The sequence below is a fragment of the Homo sapiens genome, chromosome 2, assembly GCF_000001405.40.
Source record: "Homo sapiens chromosome 2, GRCh38.p14 Primary Assembly".
Taxonomy (NCBI): Eukaryota; Metazoa; Chordata; class Mammalia; order Primates; family Hominidae; genus Homo; species Homo sapiens.
The window spans coordinates 96165241-96183109 of record NC_000002.12 but is presented as its reverse complement, the minus strand read 5'-3'; the positions used below and the strand labels follow the sequence as shown (position 1 = coordinate 96183109).

At 44.8% G+C, this 17869-nt stretch overlaps 2 annotated features.

Moving 5' to 3' along the window:
* Positions 6941–7120: an enhancer, noted in NCBI's record as "active region_16206". NCBI's record gives its function as "activates an Ori minimal core promoter by ATAC-STARR-seq in GM12878 lymphoblastoid cells {active_cell/tissue: GM12878}" and the evidence as "EXISTENCE:reporter gene assay evidence [ECO:0000049][PMID:35858748]".
* Positions 8405–8454: a silencer, noted in NCBI's record as "silent region_11756". NCBI's record gives its function as "represses an Ori minimal core promoter by ATAC-STARR-seq in GM12878 lymphoblastoid cells {active_cell/tissue: GM12878}" and the evidence as "EXISTENCE:reporter gene assay evidence [ECO:0000049][PMID:35858748]".

The following is a 17869-nucleotide window of genomic DNA, read 5'->3' as shown; positions in this document are numbered from 1 at the left end:
GAGTACAGTGGCTCGATTTCAGCTCACTGCAACCTCTGCCTCCTGGGTTCAAGCTATTCTGCCTCAGCCTCCCAAGTAGTTTGGATTACAGGTGCCTGCCACCACGCCCTGCCAATTTTTTGTATTTTTAGTAGAGGTGGGTTTTTACTATGTTGGCCAGTCTCAAACTCCTGACCTCGTGATCCGCCCGCCTGAGCCTCCCAAAGTGCTGGGATTACAGGCATGAGCCACTGTGCCCGGCTAAAATTTTATAGCTTTTTTTTTTTTTTTTTTTGAGACAGAGTTTTGCTGTTGTTGCCCAAGCTGAAGTGCAATGGCACAATCTCGGCTCACCACAACCTCCGCCTCCCGGGTTCAAGCGATTCTCCTGCCTCAGACCCCTGAGTAGCTGGGATTACAGGCATGCGCCACCACCCTGGCTAATTTTGTGTTTTTAGTAGAGACGGGGTTTCTCCATGTTGGTCAGGCTGGTCTTGAACTCCCAACCTCAGGTGATACACCTGCCTTGGCCTCCCAAAGTGCTGGGATTACAGGTGTGAGCCACCGTGCCCGGCAAATTTTATAGCTCTTTTTTTTTTTTTTTTAGATGGAGTGTCTTGCTCTGTTGCCCAGGCTGGAGTGCAGTGTCGCAATCTCAGCTCACTGCAAGCTCCACCTCCCGGGTTCACGCCATTCTCCTGCCTCAGCCTCCCAAGTAGCTGGGACTACAGGTGCCTGCCACCACGCTTGGCTAATTTTTTGTATTTTTAGTAGAGTTGGGGTTTCACCGTGTTAGCCAGGATGGTCTTGATCTCCTGACCTCGTGATCTGCCCATCTTGGCCTCCCAAAGTGCTGGGATTACAGGCGTGAGCCACTGCGCCCAGCCCAATCTTTCTTCTTTTTCTCTATGTTTTCTCTCACTTTGTCTTATCTTTTGTTCTCTTCCTCTTCATGCAGGGTGGTACGCGTGGGAGCTGGGTGGGCTGTCCAGTGTGTTTCTGCCTGCAAATTGCAGGTCAAGGTAGACTGCTTTATTTCTTAACCATTGACATATTTGAAACTGGTACCTTTTTATGTGTCACAAAGATTTGAGTATTGCACACCTAAACCCATTTCTCTATAGGCCTTGCAGTTTTTGTTGTGTGGTTTGTGTAGACATGTTGTGAGACAGCAGCACTGAGTGTTCTATGAACAGGAGAACCAAATAATAGGAAAGTAGTGATGCTTTAATAGCTAGCGTGGGCTTAGCTATCACAGCGTGGTGACCGTGGGTTGAGTGTTAGTATGAGGTTTTCATTTTAAAAAATGTATATATATATAGAAAAAGACGAAGAAACTACGTTGTATACCCTTCCCTTTGCTGGTGTTTAACATCTGCTGTGTGTGCTTTCTCTTTCTATATACACAGTGTCATGATCATTTGAAAGTAGGATGCAAACATCATGGTATTTCACCCCTAAACAGTTGAGCATGCTTTTTATAATACAGGTGTTCTGTGTAGCCACAATACCATGAGCACACAAGATAAATAACAATGCCACAATATCTAATAATGCAGTTCATATTAAAATTTCCAAAATGACTTTTATAGCCTCCCCAACCCAAGATTAATTATCGTGTGTTGCATTTGTCTCTTTGGCCACTTTTTTTTTTTTTTGTGAGACAGAGTGTTGCTCTGTCACCCAGGCTGGAGTGCATTGACACCATCTCAGCTCACTGCAACCTCCACCTCCCGGGTTCAAGCAATTCTTCTGCCTCAGCCTCCCGAGTAGCTGGGATTACAAGCGTGCACCACCACACCCAACTAATTTTTATATTTTTAGTAGAGATGAGGTTTCACCATGTTAGCCAGGCTGGTCTCAAACGCCTGACCTCAAGTGATCCACCCGTCTCAGCCCCCAAAACTGCTGGGATTACAGGCGTGAGCCACTTCGCCCGGCCTTCTTTGGCCACTTTTCATCTAGAACAGTAGTCTACCTTTTGTAACTTCACCTGTGCTTCATATAATAGAATGTAGAGCAGTGGTCTTCAAGCTTGGCTGCACTTGGGAAGCTTTGCAAACTCCCAAAGCCTGGCCCCACCCCAGACCATTGAAACCTCTAGGGGTGAGCAAGTGTTGTGCAAGTGTACATGAACAAGTGTTAAATGTTGAATGTGATCAAAGGGAGACAAATAGGCTAGAGAGGCAACAGTCTTCCTAGATCCGCATACTACTGATGTAAGTCTTGTCATACTGTTGGCTTATGCTGAGTTTGGGATTAGCCAATAATAGCCACCATTATTGAGCATCTACTGTGCCAGGCACCATGCTTCATGCCTTCATCTAATTCTATAGCCCTGTGAGTATGTAGCTAGTGCCTCATCTATAAAATGAAGAGATGGCATTAGAGGTTAAGTAATTTTCTTGCTCAGGGTCACACAGGAAGTGACAGCCAGGATGCAGACCTAGCTCTAACATCTCCAAAGACAGCTGGCAGCATGGCTTAAAACTTATGTTTTTAAATTTTTTTATTTTCCCCCTAAAACTTAATGTTTATAAATACTGCCAGATTCTTTCCCCTGGGGGTAGTTGACTTGTTTGGAAGCTTGGATCATAGCTTGCTTTATTTTTTATTATTTATTTATTTATTTTTATTTTTTGGCTAGTGACACAGCCCTCAGGAGATCTTGAGAACATATGCCCCATGAGCTTGCTTTTTAAAAAATTTTATTTTTTGAGATAGTCTCGCTGGTGCCCAGGCTGGAGTGCTGTGGTGCCATCAGATCTCACTGCAGCTTTGAACTCCTGGGTTTAAGTGAACTCCCACATCAGCCTCCTGAGTAGCCCAGACCAACCACAGGCATGCACCACCATTCCCATCTAATTTTTCTGTAGAGATGGGGTCTCACTGTGTTGCCCAGGCTGGTCTCAAACTCCTGACTTCAAGTGATCCTCCCACCTAGATCTCCCAAAGTATTGGAATTACAGGTGTAAGCCACTGTGCCTGGCCTAGGCTTGCCTGCTTGCTTGACTTTTGTTTTTTCAGAGTCCCACTCTGTCACCCAGGCTGGATTGCAGTGGCGCAGTCAAGGCTTACTGCAGTCTTCAACTCCCTGGGCTCAGGCAATCCTCCCACCTCTGCTGGGACTACAGCACGAGCCACCACACCTGGATAATTTTTGTATTTATTTTATAGGTGGGCTTTCACCATGTTGCCCAGGCTGGTCTCAAAACTGGCCTCAAGCAATCTTCCCAATTTGGCCTCCCGAAGCACTGGAATTATAGGTGTGAGCCACTATGCCTGGTTTAGGCTTGCTTTCTGTGTTAAATTTTATGTGGTTTACACTTCTTACCCTCTAGTTCCATCCAGTATAATAGCCAGTTGCTTGAACTTTATCTCTTTCACCAATTGTTTGAGTTCTGTTTCTGTAAGTATCTGGAATCATTTTTCTCTAGAACACTTCAGAATGTACACCACTCCCAGTACCATACTGTGTAATGAAGGGATGGGGGGTGGGGACATCTTGAAATAACGTTTTCTAAAGGTATTAAATTTCAAAGTCACCAGTCTCTGAACCCACCATGATAGGACAGAAATCTAAATATTTTTCTCAAAGTGAAAATAGCAATAAAATCTGAGAACTATGATTTCTAATGAATAAACTTGAAAGCCTTTTAAAAATCAAGCAGTAACGTGTAGATGAAAGTGATCTTAATGCAGATGTACTATCCCTATAAGCCTCAGCGGGTACTTGATGGAGCATCATTCAAATAGAGCCTCAGGCTCTCCACTGTCAGAGCTGCTTTAATAACCTCAGGGTTGGTTGTGACCCACACATATACTTTAAAACATTTTTAAACAGATAATTTATAAATTTTATAAATGACCTTATTGCCCCCCACCCCTTTTTTTTTTTTTTGGACACAGAATCTTGCTCTGTCGCCCAGGCTGGAGTGCAATGGCTCAATCTTGGCTCACTGCATCCTCTGCCTCCCGGGTTCAAGCAATTCTCTGCCTCAGCCTCCCAAGTAGCTGGGATTACAGGCACCTGCCACCACGCCCAGCTAATTTTTGTATTTTTAGTAGAGACAGGGTTTTATCATCTTGGCCATGCTGGTCTTGAACTCCTGAACTCATGATCCACCTGCCTCAGCCTCCCAAAGTGCTGAGATTACAGGCGTGAGCCACCGCACCTGGCCTATTATCCACTTTTAAAGAGCCTAACCATACCTAAAAAGGTAGGCTGAGTGTTTGAATATGTGAGCCGGGCGTGGTGGCTCAGGCTTGTAATCCCAGCAGTTTGGGAGGCCAAGGCAGGCAGATCACCTGAGGTCAGGAGTTTGAGACCGGCCTGGCCAACGTAGCGAAACCCCGTCTCTACTAAAAATACAAAATTTAGTCGGGCGTGGTGGGTGCATGCCAGTAGTCCCAGCTACTCAGGAGACTGAGGCAGGAGAATCACCTGAACTGGGGAGGTGGAGGTTGCAGTGAGCTGAGATTGCACCATTGCACTACATCCAGCCTGAGCAACAAGAGCAAAACTCCGTCTCGAAAAAAAAAAAAAAGTAATATGTAAATGCTTTTCAGTAAATGCATTTTGTCATATCTTAAAATTCTGCTGTGTATGGGAGTTTAGGATTATGTTTAGCCTTGAGGAATAGAGGCTACCATGTGGCTGAAACAAATTTACCCTTGATTCTTGTGAGTGTAGCCAGTCCAGGACTGGTATGATAGCTCTGCAGTCCTCCTGGTCCCAGGCTCCTGCTGTCTTCTCCATACAGCCTCCACCAAGGTGGAATTACAGTTGCATCAGAATCTGAGGGTGGGACCCAAGCATCCTGTTTTTTTTAAAGTTTTCAGGGATCCTAATGTGCAGTAAAGTTTGAGAAGCACTGGCGAAGGGGTTCAAAATAAGGACTCTGTAGCTAGAGTCAAAGGTTGTGTGACTTTGAACAAGTTAATGAACCTTTTTCCTCATCTGTAAAAGGGAAATGAGTACCTACCTTGTATGGTTACTGTGAAGATTACATAATACATGTAAAGTACTTAGACTGGTGTCTGAGACATAGCACTCCATACATTCTCACGGTCTTCTTTTCTCCTGATTACGTTTCTGGAAATAGTAGAGTTTGTCAATGCCCTTCCTAAAATGCAGAGCCCAGGGCTAGACCCCTTTCTGTTCCCTGGAAGGTAGGCATCCCCAGGGAAGGGACAGTGTCTGTGTTCCCAGTGCCCCAGCGGGACCGGCTCCACCTCCAGCCATCACGTCTGTTCCACCAGTGGGAAGGAACAAGGGGAGAAGTGGATGGCCTCTGCCTTTGAAGACACTTTCCATTTTTACCTGCGGCCAATGGCCACACTTTCAAAGAACACCAGCTGCTGGGAAATAATTTATATTTTAAGCAGCTATGTGCCCAGTTAAAATTCAGAGGTGATTTGCTGGGCAAGAAAGGGAGAATGGAAATGGAGGACAGCTGGGAGTCTTTGCCAAATTATAGCTGAAAATAACTTTAAATGAATCACTTCAAAGGACCAAATGGTTCAGTTAAAAAGGGAAAAATCGCCAGTAGATGTTTTAGAACTTTCAGTAGTCTAGAACTCAGTAGATGTAGAATTTATTTGGCATCGACATCAAGCCAATTGGCCTGTAATTCATCCCCTTTTTGAAAACCCTAATAGCCTTTGCCCATCTCCAATCAGCGGTGCCTCTTTCTTCAGGAATTTAGACATTTAGTCCTTGTTGAGGACCCTCTGAAGAAATCTGCTTGGCCTCAGTGTCCGGAATAGGACTCTCAGGCATGCTTTTTTTTTTTTTTTTTTTTTTTTTGAGACAGAGTCTCGCTCTGTTGCCAGGTTGGAAGTGCAGTGGTGCGATCTCGACTCACTGCAACCTCCGCCTCCCGGGTTCAAGCGATTCTCCTGTCTCAGCCTCCCAAGTAGCTGGGAATACAGGTGTGTGCCACCACACCTGGCTAATTTTTGTATTTTTAGTAGAGACGGGGTTTCACCATGTTGGCCAGGATGGTCTTGATCTCCTGGTCTCGTAATCTGCTCGCCTCAGCCTCCCAAAGTGCTGGGTTTACAGAGGTGAGCCACTACGCCTTGCTGCACTTGTATTTTTGCTTCATTTCTAGATCCACTTTCTGTCCCTGCCCTTATTTGTGTGTGTGTTTTTTTCTTTCTTATATCTTTCTGTTTCTACTTTTAAACGTCTTGTGTCTGATATTTTTGTTGGCTAATTTGCTCCTCTGTTGGAACACAAGCATTGTCTAGATTAACACAAGTATCTGGCACACTTCCCATTTCCATACGCAAGTGATTGTAGTTGCCTGGGCTGTGGTTCTACATCTGGAGGTCAGGATTCATTTGGAAAGTTTAGGTGATGGGAGAGGAAGAAGGAACTGTTTTGGTATCCAGTTTCCTTTTTTCCGATGTGTTCAATCTTCCCTTTCCATCAGAAGATACAGAAGATACAGAAGTGGGCTGTGCATGGTGTTCACCTGTAATCCCAGCATTTTGGGAGGCCGAGGTGGGCGAATCACTTGAGGTCAGGAGTTCAAAACAAGCCTGGCCAACATGGAGAAACCCTGTCTCTAACAAAATACAAAAATTAGCTGGGCTTGGTGGTGCGCACCTGTGGTTCCAGCTACTGGGGAGGCTGAGGCAGGAGAATCGCTTGAACCTGGGAGGCGGAGGTTGTAGTGAGCCGAGATCGTGCCACTGCACTCCAGCCTGGCGACAGAGTGAGACTCCGTTTCAAAAAAAAAAAAGAAGATACAGAAATGGGAAACTTTGTGGGTGCAGGTTGGGGTGTCCCCAGGTGACTCCGGAGTGGTCAGCTGTGTGCATTTCTGTGTCCCAGGAGCTGCACCTCAGTTCTGTGGGCTGGGAAACTCCACCATGTCAGAGACCAGAGTTGGTTGAACTCAGTGTCTAACCAGGCTCCCAAGAGAAAGACACATTTAGCAGTCCAAGAAATACATGCTGGCAGGATGAGTCAGGCCTTGCTAGCCCGACCAGGGTCATCTCCACTGTAAGCAAAACACATGGGAAGCCCAATCACAGGGTTTCGTGGTGATCATGCAGGCAGGTGAGCATTCGCTTGGCTATATTTGTCCCACTACCACCTTCTGAGCTCGTCAGCAAGCTCCTGCGCAGTCTGGTGTTTTTGTTTTGTTTTGTTTTGTTTTTTGACATTGGAGTCTTGCTCTGTTGCCTAGGCTGGAGTTCAATGGCACAATCTTGGCTCACTGCAACTTCTGACTCCCAGGTTCAAGCAATGCTCCTGCCTCAGCCTCTTGAGTAGCTGGGCTTACAGGTGCATGCCACCATGCCCAGCTAATTTTTATATTTTTAGTAGAGATATGGTTTCACCATGTTGTCCAGGCCGGTCTTGAACTCCTGACCTCAGGTGATCCGCCTGCCTCAGCCTCCCAAAGTGCTGGGATTACAGGTGTGAGCCACAGCACCCGGTCTTTACTTTGTTATTTTTAAATTTTTTTCTTAAAATGTTCTCTGCTTTTGGGGGCTTGGGACTGTTCAGGGTATGTGTGTATATTTCAGTTTGCATTTCCCTAGACAGGATTGAGCCCAATATTTAAACAAATGTAGTTTAATGCTGAAAGGCACTTTAGAGGGCATCAGGTACAGATCTTTCATTTATAAACGATGCTCAGAGCTTAGCATTTGTTCCAAGTCACACAGCTCTTCCCTGGTCTAGAACCTTGGTCTTCTGGGATCCAATGCATTTTCCATTCCACTGTGTAATTTCTTGGCGAAGTTTTCGGAGAAATCTTTAGAATTCATAATATGCATGCCGTAAAGCCTTAAAACCACTCCCAACTACCCTAAGAACACCCTGGACGAGGAGTGTATTAGTTTGGTCATAATCAGCTGCTGTAACAAAGTGCCACAAACTGAGTGGCTTAAACAATAAAAATTTATTGTCTCACATTTTTGGAGGCTGGAAGTCCAAAAGCAAGGTGTGAGCAGGGCTGGCTCCTTCTGAGGGCAGTGAGGGAGAATGTTCTAGAACTCTGTCCCAGCTTTTTGTGGTTGCTGGCGTGTGAGCTGCATCACCCCAGTCCCTGCCTTTGTGTTCCCTGCATGCACGTGTTGCCCACATTTCCTTTTAATAAGGACACCAGTCATATTGCATTAGGGACCACACTACTTCATTATGACTTGATCTTAACTGTATCTGTAACACCCTATCTCCAAATAGGGTCACATTCTGAGATACTGGGGATTAGACCTTCAACATATGAATTTTAGAGGGATACAATTCAATCTAGAACAAGGGGAGATCTGCAGAGAACTCAATTTAAGAGATGAATTTTCAAAACCGGTGTCTGGAGGCCACTGTCCCAGTAGAGTCCATAAAGACTCCCAGCCTGGCCAGGGTCACCTATCCTGCAGCTTCCATGTTGAGCAGCAGGGGGCAGGGCTGTGCCACCCACTAGGAGTCTTGCCAGCCTGCCCGTGGCTGCTGGAAGGATTTTATAGCTCCTGACAACTGACAGTTCAATGTGGGTCTATATGGGCACCATCGTCCCCTCAGAGCCTTGATTTACATCAAGTCCTATGAATGAAAGAGAGGAAGTGGGTCAGATGACCACAGCCTGTGCAGGTTGCACAGTAGTGCACCAGTGGGAAGAGGAGGCCAAGGGTTTGTCCCTTTAGATAACTGGGAGAGTCACAGGCTCCAGGTGGTGACTAAGAATGTGTTTGCTGAGGAGACAGATGGACAGATGGGGATAACTAGACAGCAGCTTGGATGAGCTGCCTTTTTCCTCATCACCCTCCTGCTCCTGGAGGCCAGTCCGGTGTTCAGCCTAGGAAGCTGGGTTGGCCACTCCGGAAGGAGCCAGGACTGCCAGGCCACTCGGAGGATCCAGCTGTCTGATGTTCCAATGCTCCTGTTATGATTCCTCCACTTCTTATGAAACTCATTATTGCTTCCTGTATTTCTGTGCCTAGGAAAGAAGGTGTGATGGGGTGATAATCAGCAAGGACTTATTGAGGGCCCACTGTGTGCTTTAGGACTTTCAAAGGAATTATAAAGCAGCTGGGGAGACAACCCTGGCCTAGACATAATTGCACAGCCCAGCATCGAGAACCAGCAAAGCCTCAGTCCTGTGTAGCAAGGACAGAGTAGGACTGGGTGAGCTGTGACTCCGTTCCTGAGACCAACTGTCTCGAACATAGTTACACCAGCGGCCTGCTGGTTCATCACCCAGAATGTTCTGGATACTCCTTTGGATCTTGCCTTCATATTCTTTTGTTTTCTACAGTATTAATTAAGAGGCTAAAAGATAATGCACTTATGCATTTCTTTTTTTTTTTGAGACGGAGTCTCACTCTATCACCCAGGCTGGAGTGCAGTGGCTCACTGCAATCTTTACCTACCAGGTTCAAGCAATTCTCGTGCCTCAGCCCTCCCAGTAGCTGGGACTGCAGGTGCGCACCACCACGCCCGGCTAATTTTTGTATTTTTAGTAGAGACATTTTACCATGTTGGCCAGGCTGGTCTTGAACTCCTGACCTCAGGTGATCCACCCACCTTGGCCTCCCAAAGTGCTCGGGATTACAGGCATGAGCCATTGCGCCTGGCCTAACTTAAGCATTTCTTTTACACATAAAAATATAAAGAAAAATTACATAATCTGTACAACCCAGAGCATCAGTGTATTTTTCTCCACTTGTATTTGTACGTAACATTTTTTCTGGCTGAGCACGTTGGCTCACGCCTGTAATCTCAGCACTCTTTAGTATTCTCTACTAAAAATACAAAAATAAACTGGGCGTGGTGGCACACGTCTGTAATCCCAGCTACTTGGGAGGCTGAGGCACGAGAATCGCTTGAACCTGGGAGGAAGAGATTGCAGTGAGCTGAGGTCGCACCATTGCACTCCAGCCTGGGCAACACAGCAAGACTCCATCTCAAAAAACCCAAAAAACTAAAAAACCATTTTTAGTTTTTATCCAAATATTTGTGCGCATAGTTGGAAAAGTCATGGCCGGGCACTATGGCTTATGCCACCTGTAACCCCAGCTACTCCGGAGGCTTGAATCAGGGAGGCGGAGGTTGCAGTGAGCCAAGATGGCACCATTGAACTCCCTCTGCCTGGGCAACAGAGTGAGACTCAGTCTAAAAAAAAAAAAAAAGTCAAATCGTTCTTAAAGTTTGTTATGAAAACTCCTCCCACCATCTCCCCTCCCCAGGGACAGCCAGTTTCACCTCTCCCAGCATATTATATTGATATTTATCTCCAGGTCTCTAAATAATGTGCTTATCTCGCCCCTCCTTGCTTTTTCATTTTAGGCATTATATGAAGACTTCGCTCTTTCTTCCCATCCCCACCCCCTCGCAATGACTTAGCTCTTCCTTCCCCTCCTTGCCCCCCTTATCCCCTCTTTGTCCCAGAGTACTTAATTATACTGAATTAGTTACAGTATTATTTAGCATTTACAGTATTACGAGCATGGAAATATCACAGGCAAGACACTACACTGTTTTCTAGCACGACTTTTTGTTTTCCTAGAGCCAGTACTTGGTTTTTCATTTATTTAGTTTGTTGTGGTTGTGTATGTGTGTGTTTTTTTGTTTTTGAGATGGAGTCTCTGTCTCCCAGGATTGTGGTTGTGTGTGTGTTTTTTTGTTTTTGAGACCAAGTCTCACTCTCCCAGGGTTTTGTGTGTGTGTTTGTTTCTGAGATGGAGTCTCACTCTGTCTCCCAGGGTTCTTTCTCTCTCTCTCTCTCTCTCTCTCTCTCTGTGTGTGTGTGTTTTTGAGATGGAGTCTCACTCTGTCTCCCAGGGTTGTGGTTGTGTGTGTGTGTGTATGTTTTTGTTTTTGAGATGGGGTCTCACTCTGTCTTCCAGGGTTTTGTGAGTGTGTGTGTGTGTGTGTGTGTGTGTGTGTGTTTGAGATGGAGTCTCACTCTGTCTCCCAGGCTGGAGTGCATGGCTCGATCTCGGCTCACTGCAACCTCTGCTTCCCGCATTCAAGCGATTCTCCTGCCTCACCCTCCTGAGTATCTGGGACTACAGGCACCTACCACCATGCCTGGCCCTGTTGTGTCCTTACCACTAACCACCCTCGCTGGCGCGGTGGCTCACGCCCGTAATCCCAGCAGTTGGGAGGCCTAGATAGGTGGAGCACTGGAGACCAGGAGTTGGATATCAGCCTAGGTAACATCGTGAGACCCTATCTCCACCAACAATACAAAAACTAGCTGGGTGTGGTGGTGCGCACGCCTGTAGTCCCAGCTACTCCGGAGGCTGAGGCGAGAGAATCGCTTGAACCTGGGAGGTTGCAGTGAGCCGAGACAGCGCCACTGCATTCCAGCCTGGGTGACGGAGCAAGGCTCCGTCTCAAAAACAAAACAAAACAAAACAAAACAAAACAAAACAAAATAAACAAAACCACTCACCCTCTCTGGCAATTGGGATCTCTCTCTCTGCTGCTGCAGCAGGTGTGGTAAGATTTCAATTCCCGCGGGGTCTGGGCCTCCCAGGTTCAAGCGATTCTCCTGTCTCAGCCTCCCGAGTTGCTGGGATTACAGGCGCGCCTGGCTAATTTTTGTGCTTTTTTTTTTTTTTTTTTTTTTTTTTTGAGACGGAGTCTTGCTCTGTTGCCCAGGCTTGAGTGCAGTCGCGTGATCTCGGCTCACAGCAAGCTCCGCCTCCCAGGTTCATGCCATTCCCCTGCCTCAGCCTCCCGAGTAGCTGGGACTACAGGAGCCTGCCACCACACCTGGCTAATTTTTTTGTATTTTTAGTAGAGACGGGGTTTCACCGTGTTAGCCAGGATGGTCTCGATCTCCTGACCTCGTGATCCGCCCGCCTCGGCCTCCAAAAGTGCTAGGATTACAGGCGTGAGCCACTGCACCCGGCCATTTTTGTGTTTTTAGTAGAGACGGGGTTTCACTATGTTGGCCAGGCTGGTCTTGAACTCCTGACCTCAAGTGATCCACCCACCTCGGCCTCCCAAAGTGCTGGGATTACAGGTGTGAGCCACCACCTCCAGCCTGATATTGAGTTTTAAATTTCTGCTTTCTTATTTTTAATAACTGGAGACCTATTTTCTGAGTGTTTGCTCTTTGTGGCAACTGTTCTTATTTTATGGGTACAGTATCTTCCCTCTCTGAGGATGGGAGTGATTTTTGTTAATTTTTTTTCTTCCTGCACGATGTTTCCTCCAAGTTACTTTTTCCTGTTAGTGGCCTCTCCTTTGTGATTGAGGCTTTCCTTGGCTGTTGGTTGTTGGTTCTTATTAAGAAACTCTGACTGGGGGTTCTCAGCATGTGAGCGGCCGGCCATGACCTCATTATAGGGTAGGCTGGCTGGCTGTTACACAAACCTTCAGCTGGTTCTTAGTCTATCCCTTCTCTTCACCCAACATGGTACCTCACTGAGCCTGAGCCTTTTGGGCATTCCACTGGGTAAACTGGATTGGCTCTTAACTGTCCCCACTACTGGCTAGGAATTCAGTTTTTTCTTTGTCTTAAGCCATTTGCCATTTTGACCATATACTTTCCACCTTCCAAAAATGTTTCCTGTTTCTTTCCTTTCTCCTTGATTGTGTGGGGTTTGCCTTTTGCTTCACCTTCTTTGCTGTCAAGCATGGGTTCAGGGGGTAACCACTGTCATCTTTACCTAGGTCCTCACTTTTTTTATTAAGTAGTTTTTATTCATTGACTTTGTTGAGGTATAATCAAAGTACAGTAAGCTGCATGTACTTAAAATGCACAACCTAATAAATTTTACTTAAATTCATTAAATAAATGCACAACCTGAGAAATTTTCACATGTGATATACCTGTGATGTCATCATCACGATGAAGATAATGAACATTTCATCACCCACAAAAGTTTCCTTATACCCCTTGCAAGTCTTCCCCTGCCCTGTCTGAGCATACCCACCATAGAATAGTCTGCATTTTATAGAGTTTTATATAAATGGAATCTTAGAGTATGTGCTGTAGTGTGGTTTATGGCTTCTTGAATTCAGCATAATGATTCTATGATCGTTCATGTTGTGTTTATCAGTAGTTCACCCCTCTTCATGGCTGAGTATTATTCCACTGAATGGATGTACCACAATTTGTTCACTCATGTACCTGTTGAGGAACATTTGAGTTGTTACCAGTTTGGGAGGATTATAGATAGAGCTGCTGTAAACATTTGTGTACAAGTCTTTGTGTAAATATATATTTTAGGTTTTTTTTTTAAGGTAAATACTGAGGAATGAAATGCCTGAGTCATGGTAAAAGTATGTTCAAATATTTATTTATTTATTTTTTATTTTTTGAGACGAAGTCTCGCTCTGTTGCCTAGGCTGTAGTACAGTGGCGTGATCTCGGCTCACTGCAACCTCCGCCTCCTGGGTTCAAGTGATTCTCCTGCCTCAACCTCCCAAGTAGCTGGGATTACAGGCGTGCACCAACACACCCCGCTAATTTGTGATTTTTTTTTTAGTAGAGATGGGGTTTCACCATCTTGGCCAGGCTGGTCTTGAACTCCTGACCTCAGGTGATCTACCCGCCTCGGCCTCCCAAAGTGCTGGGATTACAGGCACAAGCCACTGTGCCCGGCCTCAAATATTTTAAAGTAACTGCCAAACTGTTTTCCAAAGTGGTTGCCTCATTTTATATTCCTATGAGCAGTGTATAAGAGTTTCAGTTGCCCCATCTCCTTGCCAAAATGTTTTGTGATCTGTCTTCTCATTATGGCTTTAATTTGCATCTCCCCAGTGATTAATGATGTTTAGCATCTTTTTATGTGGTTATTGGTGGTCATAAAACTTCTTCCTGTGAAGTGTCATTTGAAATCTTTTGCTCATTTTGTATTGGGTTGTTTGTCTTGACACGAGTATTTCTATTTTTCTCCTTTTTTAAAAATTAAGATATATACAATTCAGTGGTTTTTAAGCACATTTACGGTTATAAAACCATCACCATGACCTAATTCCAAAACATTTTCATTACCCCTCAGAAAAATTCCAGATTCATTAGCAACCACTCCCTTTACCCCTCTCTCCCCAGCCCCTGGCAGCCACTAATCTACTGTCTGTCTCTATGAATTTGCCTATTTGGGACATTTCATATGAAAGAGTCATATAATATGTGGTCTCTTGTGACTGGATTCTTTCATTTTTAAGATTTTCAGGGTTCATCCATATTATAGCATGTATCTACTGATACATGCTTCATTCCCTTTTATGGCTGAATAATTTTTTTTTTTTTTTGAGACAGAGTCTCGCTGTGTCATCCAGGCTGGAGTACAGCGGCACAGTCTTGGCTCACTGCAACCTCTGCCTCCTGGGTTCAAGTGATTCTTATGCCTCAGCCTCCCGAGTAGCTGGGATTACAGGCATGCACCACCACGCCTGGCTAATTTTTGTATTTTTAGTAGCTGTGAGGTTTCACCATGTTCCCCAGGCTGGTCTTGAACTCCTGGCCTCAAGTTATCTGCCTGCTTCAGCCTCCCAAATATTGGTATTATAGGCGTGAGCCACTGGGCTGAATAATATTCTGCTGTGTTGATATACCACATTTTGTCCATTCATTCACTGCTAGGCATTTGGGTTGTTTTTCACTTTTTGGCTATTATGAATAATACCATTGATGAACACTCATGTGCACACTTCTGTATAGACATATGTTTATAATTCTCTTGGGTATAAGTAGGAGTGGGATTGCTGGGTCATATGGTTATTACTGGTGGAAGGTATCAGAGTTACTGGCAAATCTGTATGGGTCTGCAGCAACCTCAATTCTTGCCTCCTCAGAAGAAATAATTCGACTGAGGGCAGAAAAAGAGATCAAGGCAAATTTTCAGAGCAGGAATGGAAGTTTATTTTAGAAGCCTTTAAAACAGGAAAGAAAGGAAAGCAAGCTTGGAAGAGGCCCAAGCCGGGAACTTGAAGAACAAGTGTGATGTTTAACCTTGATCCTAGGACTTTATAGGCTGGCCCACTTATGGCGTCTTGTGCCCCTTTCCCATGATTCTTCTCTCAGGTGGGCTTCCCGCATGCGCAGTGCCCTCCTTACCCTTGGGAAGTGAGCAGGGGCAGTGTGTTTAGGAAGTTGTGTGCATGCCCATCTGAGGCTTTCTTCCCTTTTCTGGTGGGGTGCCCCCAGGAGGTCCATCATTTTGTCTCTTAATGCATATGCCTGGGAAGTTACTTCTCCCTGGCACCTGCATTTAATTAATACGTTAGTGCAACAGGTGTGGACCATCAGGAAATGGGCTCTCCCTGGCACCAGCTGCCAATTTATCACTGTTAGAGAGGCAATGCAATAACTGCCGAACCACAACCCAACATTCCTAGTGGGTTGAGGGAGAGTCCTCTCTGCCCGGCTCACGTCTGTCTAACTACCTGTAACATGGTTAATGGATGTTTAACTTTTTGAGGAATCACCAAACTATTTTCCAAAGCAGCTGCACCATTTTACGTTCACACCAGCAGTTTGTGAGGGTTTCACCTTCTTCACATCCTTAACAACATTTGTTGTTCTTTATTCTAGCCATCCCCATGTGTGTGAAATGTTATCTCATTGTGGTTTTGAATTGCATTTCTCTAATGACTAATGATGTTGAGCATCTTTTCATGTGCTTATTGGCCATTTGCATATCTTCTTTGAGGGAATGGTTATTCAAAACCGTCACTCAGTTAAAAATCAGATTGTCATTTTATTGTTGAGTTGTGTATTTATATATTTTAGATGTGTAGATGTGTATCATTTGTCTGATATATGTGTTGGTAATATTTTCTTCCCTGTCTGTGGCTTGCCTTTTTTTGTTGTTGTTGTTTTGTTTTGTTTTGTTTTTGAGATGGAGTCTCGATCCGTTGCCCAGGCTGGAGTGCAGTGGCATGATCTCGGCTCACCACAACCTCTGCCTCCCAGGTTCAAGAGATTGTCCTGCCTCAGCCTCCTGAGTAGCTGGGACTACAGGCGTGCACCACCATGACTGGCTAATTTTTGTATTTTTAGTAGAGATGGGGTTTCACTGTGTTGGCCAGTCTGGTCTTCTGACCTCATGATCTGCCGCCTTGGCCTCCCAAAGTGTTGGGATTATAGGTGTGAGTCACTGCATCCAGCAGGCCTTTTGTTTTTTTAAGGTGTCTTTCAAAGAGTAAAAGGTTTTAATTTTGACAAAGTTCAGCTTATCAATTGTTTATATTTTGTGTGTGTGATTTTTTTTCTTCTTTTTTTTTTTTTGAGATGGAGTCTCGCTCTGTTGCCAGGCTGGAGTGCAGTAGTGCAATCTCAGCTCACTGCAACCTCCACCTCCTGGGTTCAAATGATTCTCGTGCCTCAGCTTCCTGAGTAGCTGGGATTACAGGCACATGCCACTACACCCAGCTAATTTTTATATTTTTAGTAGAGACAGGGTTTCACCATGTTGGCCAGGATGGTCTCGATCTCCTGACTTCATGATCTGCCCACCTCGGCCTCCCAAAGTGCTGGGATTACAGGTGTAAGCCACCGTACCCTGCCTGTGCTTTTTTGTGTTCTAAGAAAACTTTGTCCAGTTCAAGATATAAATATTTTCTCCTATGTTTTTCTTCTATACATTGCATAATTTTAGATTTTACATTTAGGTCTTTGATCTGTTCCAGTTAGTTAATTTTTATATGTGGTGTGAGTTAAGGGTCTTAGATGACATTTAGTATGTCTCCAACATTATTTCTTATTTCGTACGAGGCAGAATGGGAGTCTCACTCCCCTATTATTTTCTCCCTCGCCTTATTCCATATACATTATAGGAAATGTGTTTTTGTTTTTTTGTTTTTTAAGAGGAAAGAGACAGAAAGATTTGCTAATATGGGGGTAGCCAGTATACTCCGTTTTTACTCAATAGTGTCATGTTGCTTTCCCTACATTATTTTTTTTTTATTTTTTATTTTTTAGATAGAGTCTTGTTCCATCACCCAGGCTGGAGTTCAGTGGCACAATCTCGTCTCACTGCAACCTCCACCTCCCAGGCTCAAACAATTCTCCTGCCTCAGCCTCCTAAATAATGGGATTAAAGGCATGTGCCACCACTCTCAGCTAATTTTTGTATTCTTAGTAGAGACAGGGTTTCACCATGTTGGCCAGGCTAGTCTCAAACTCCTGGCCTCAAGTGATCCACCTGCCTTGGCCTCCCAAAGTGCTAGGAATACAGGAGTGAGCCACCATGCCTGGTCAATATTATCTGCCTTTTATTTTTTATTTTTATTTAGTTTTTCCAATCTGGATGGTATAAAAGGGATATCTCAGTTATAATTTTGATTTCTCTAGTTACTATGGAGTTAAATATTTCTTGTCATACTTGTTAACCATTGGGATTTCCCTTGCATGAATTGCCTATTATAACTATAATCCTTTTTTATTTTTTTTTCTTAGAGACTGAATCTCACTCTGTCACCCAGGCTGGAGTGCAGTGGCCCCATCTTGGCTCACTGCAACCTCTGCCTTCCGGGTTCAAGCAGTTCTCCTGACTCAGCCTCCCGAGTAGCTGGGAGGGACTACAGGCACCTGCCACCATGCCTGGTTAATTTTTTATTTTTATTTTTTGTATTTTTGGTAGAGACGGGGTTTCACCATGTTGGCCAGGCTGGTCTCGAACTCCTGACCTCAGGTGTTCTACCCACCCTGGCCTCCCAAAGTGCTGGGATTACAAGCATAAGCCACTACGTCCGGTCGACTATATCCATTTTTATGTTGATATTTTTCCTGTAGTTCCCCTGGTTTTCTTCTTGATTTGTAAAAATTCCTTGTATATGCCAAAATATAATTTCATAATAGTTTATTTTATTTATGAAATTATAAATAGGGTCCATGGGAGTGGAGTGAACAGCGTACATGTCACTAACTGTCTGAAGGTTGAGGAGAAACTCAGGACCTAGGTGGTG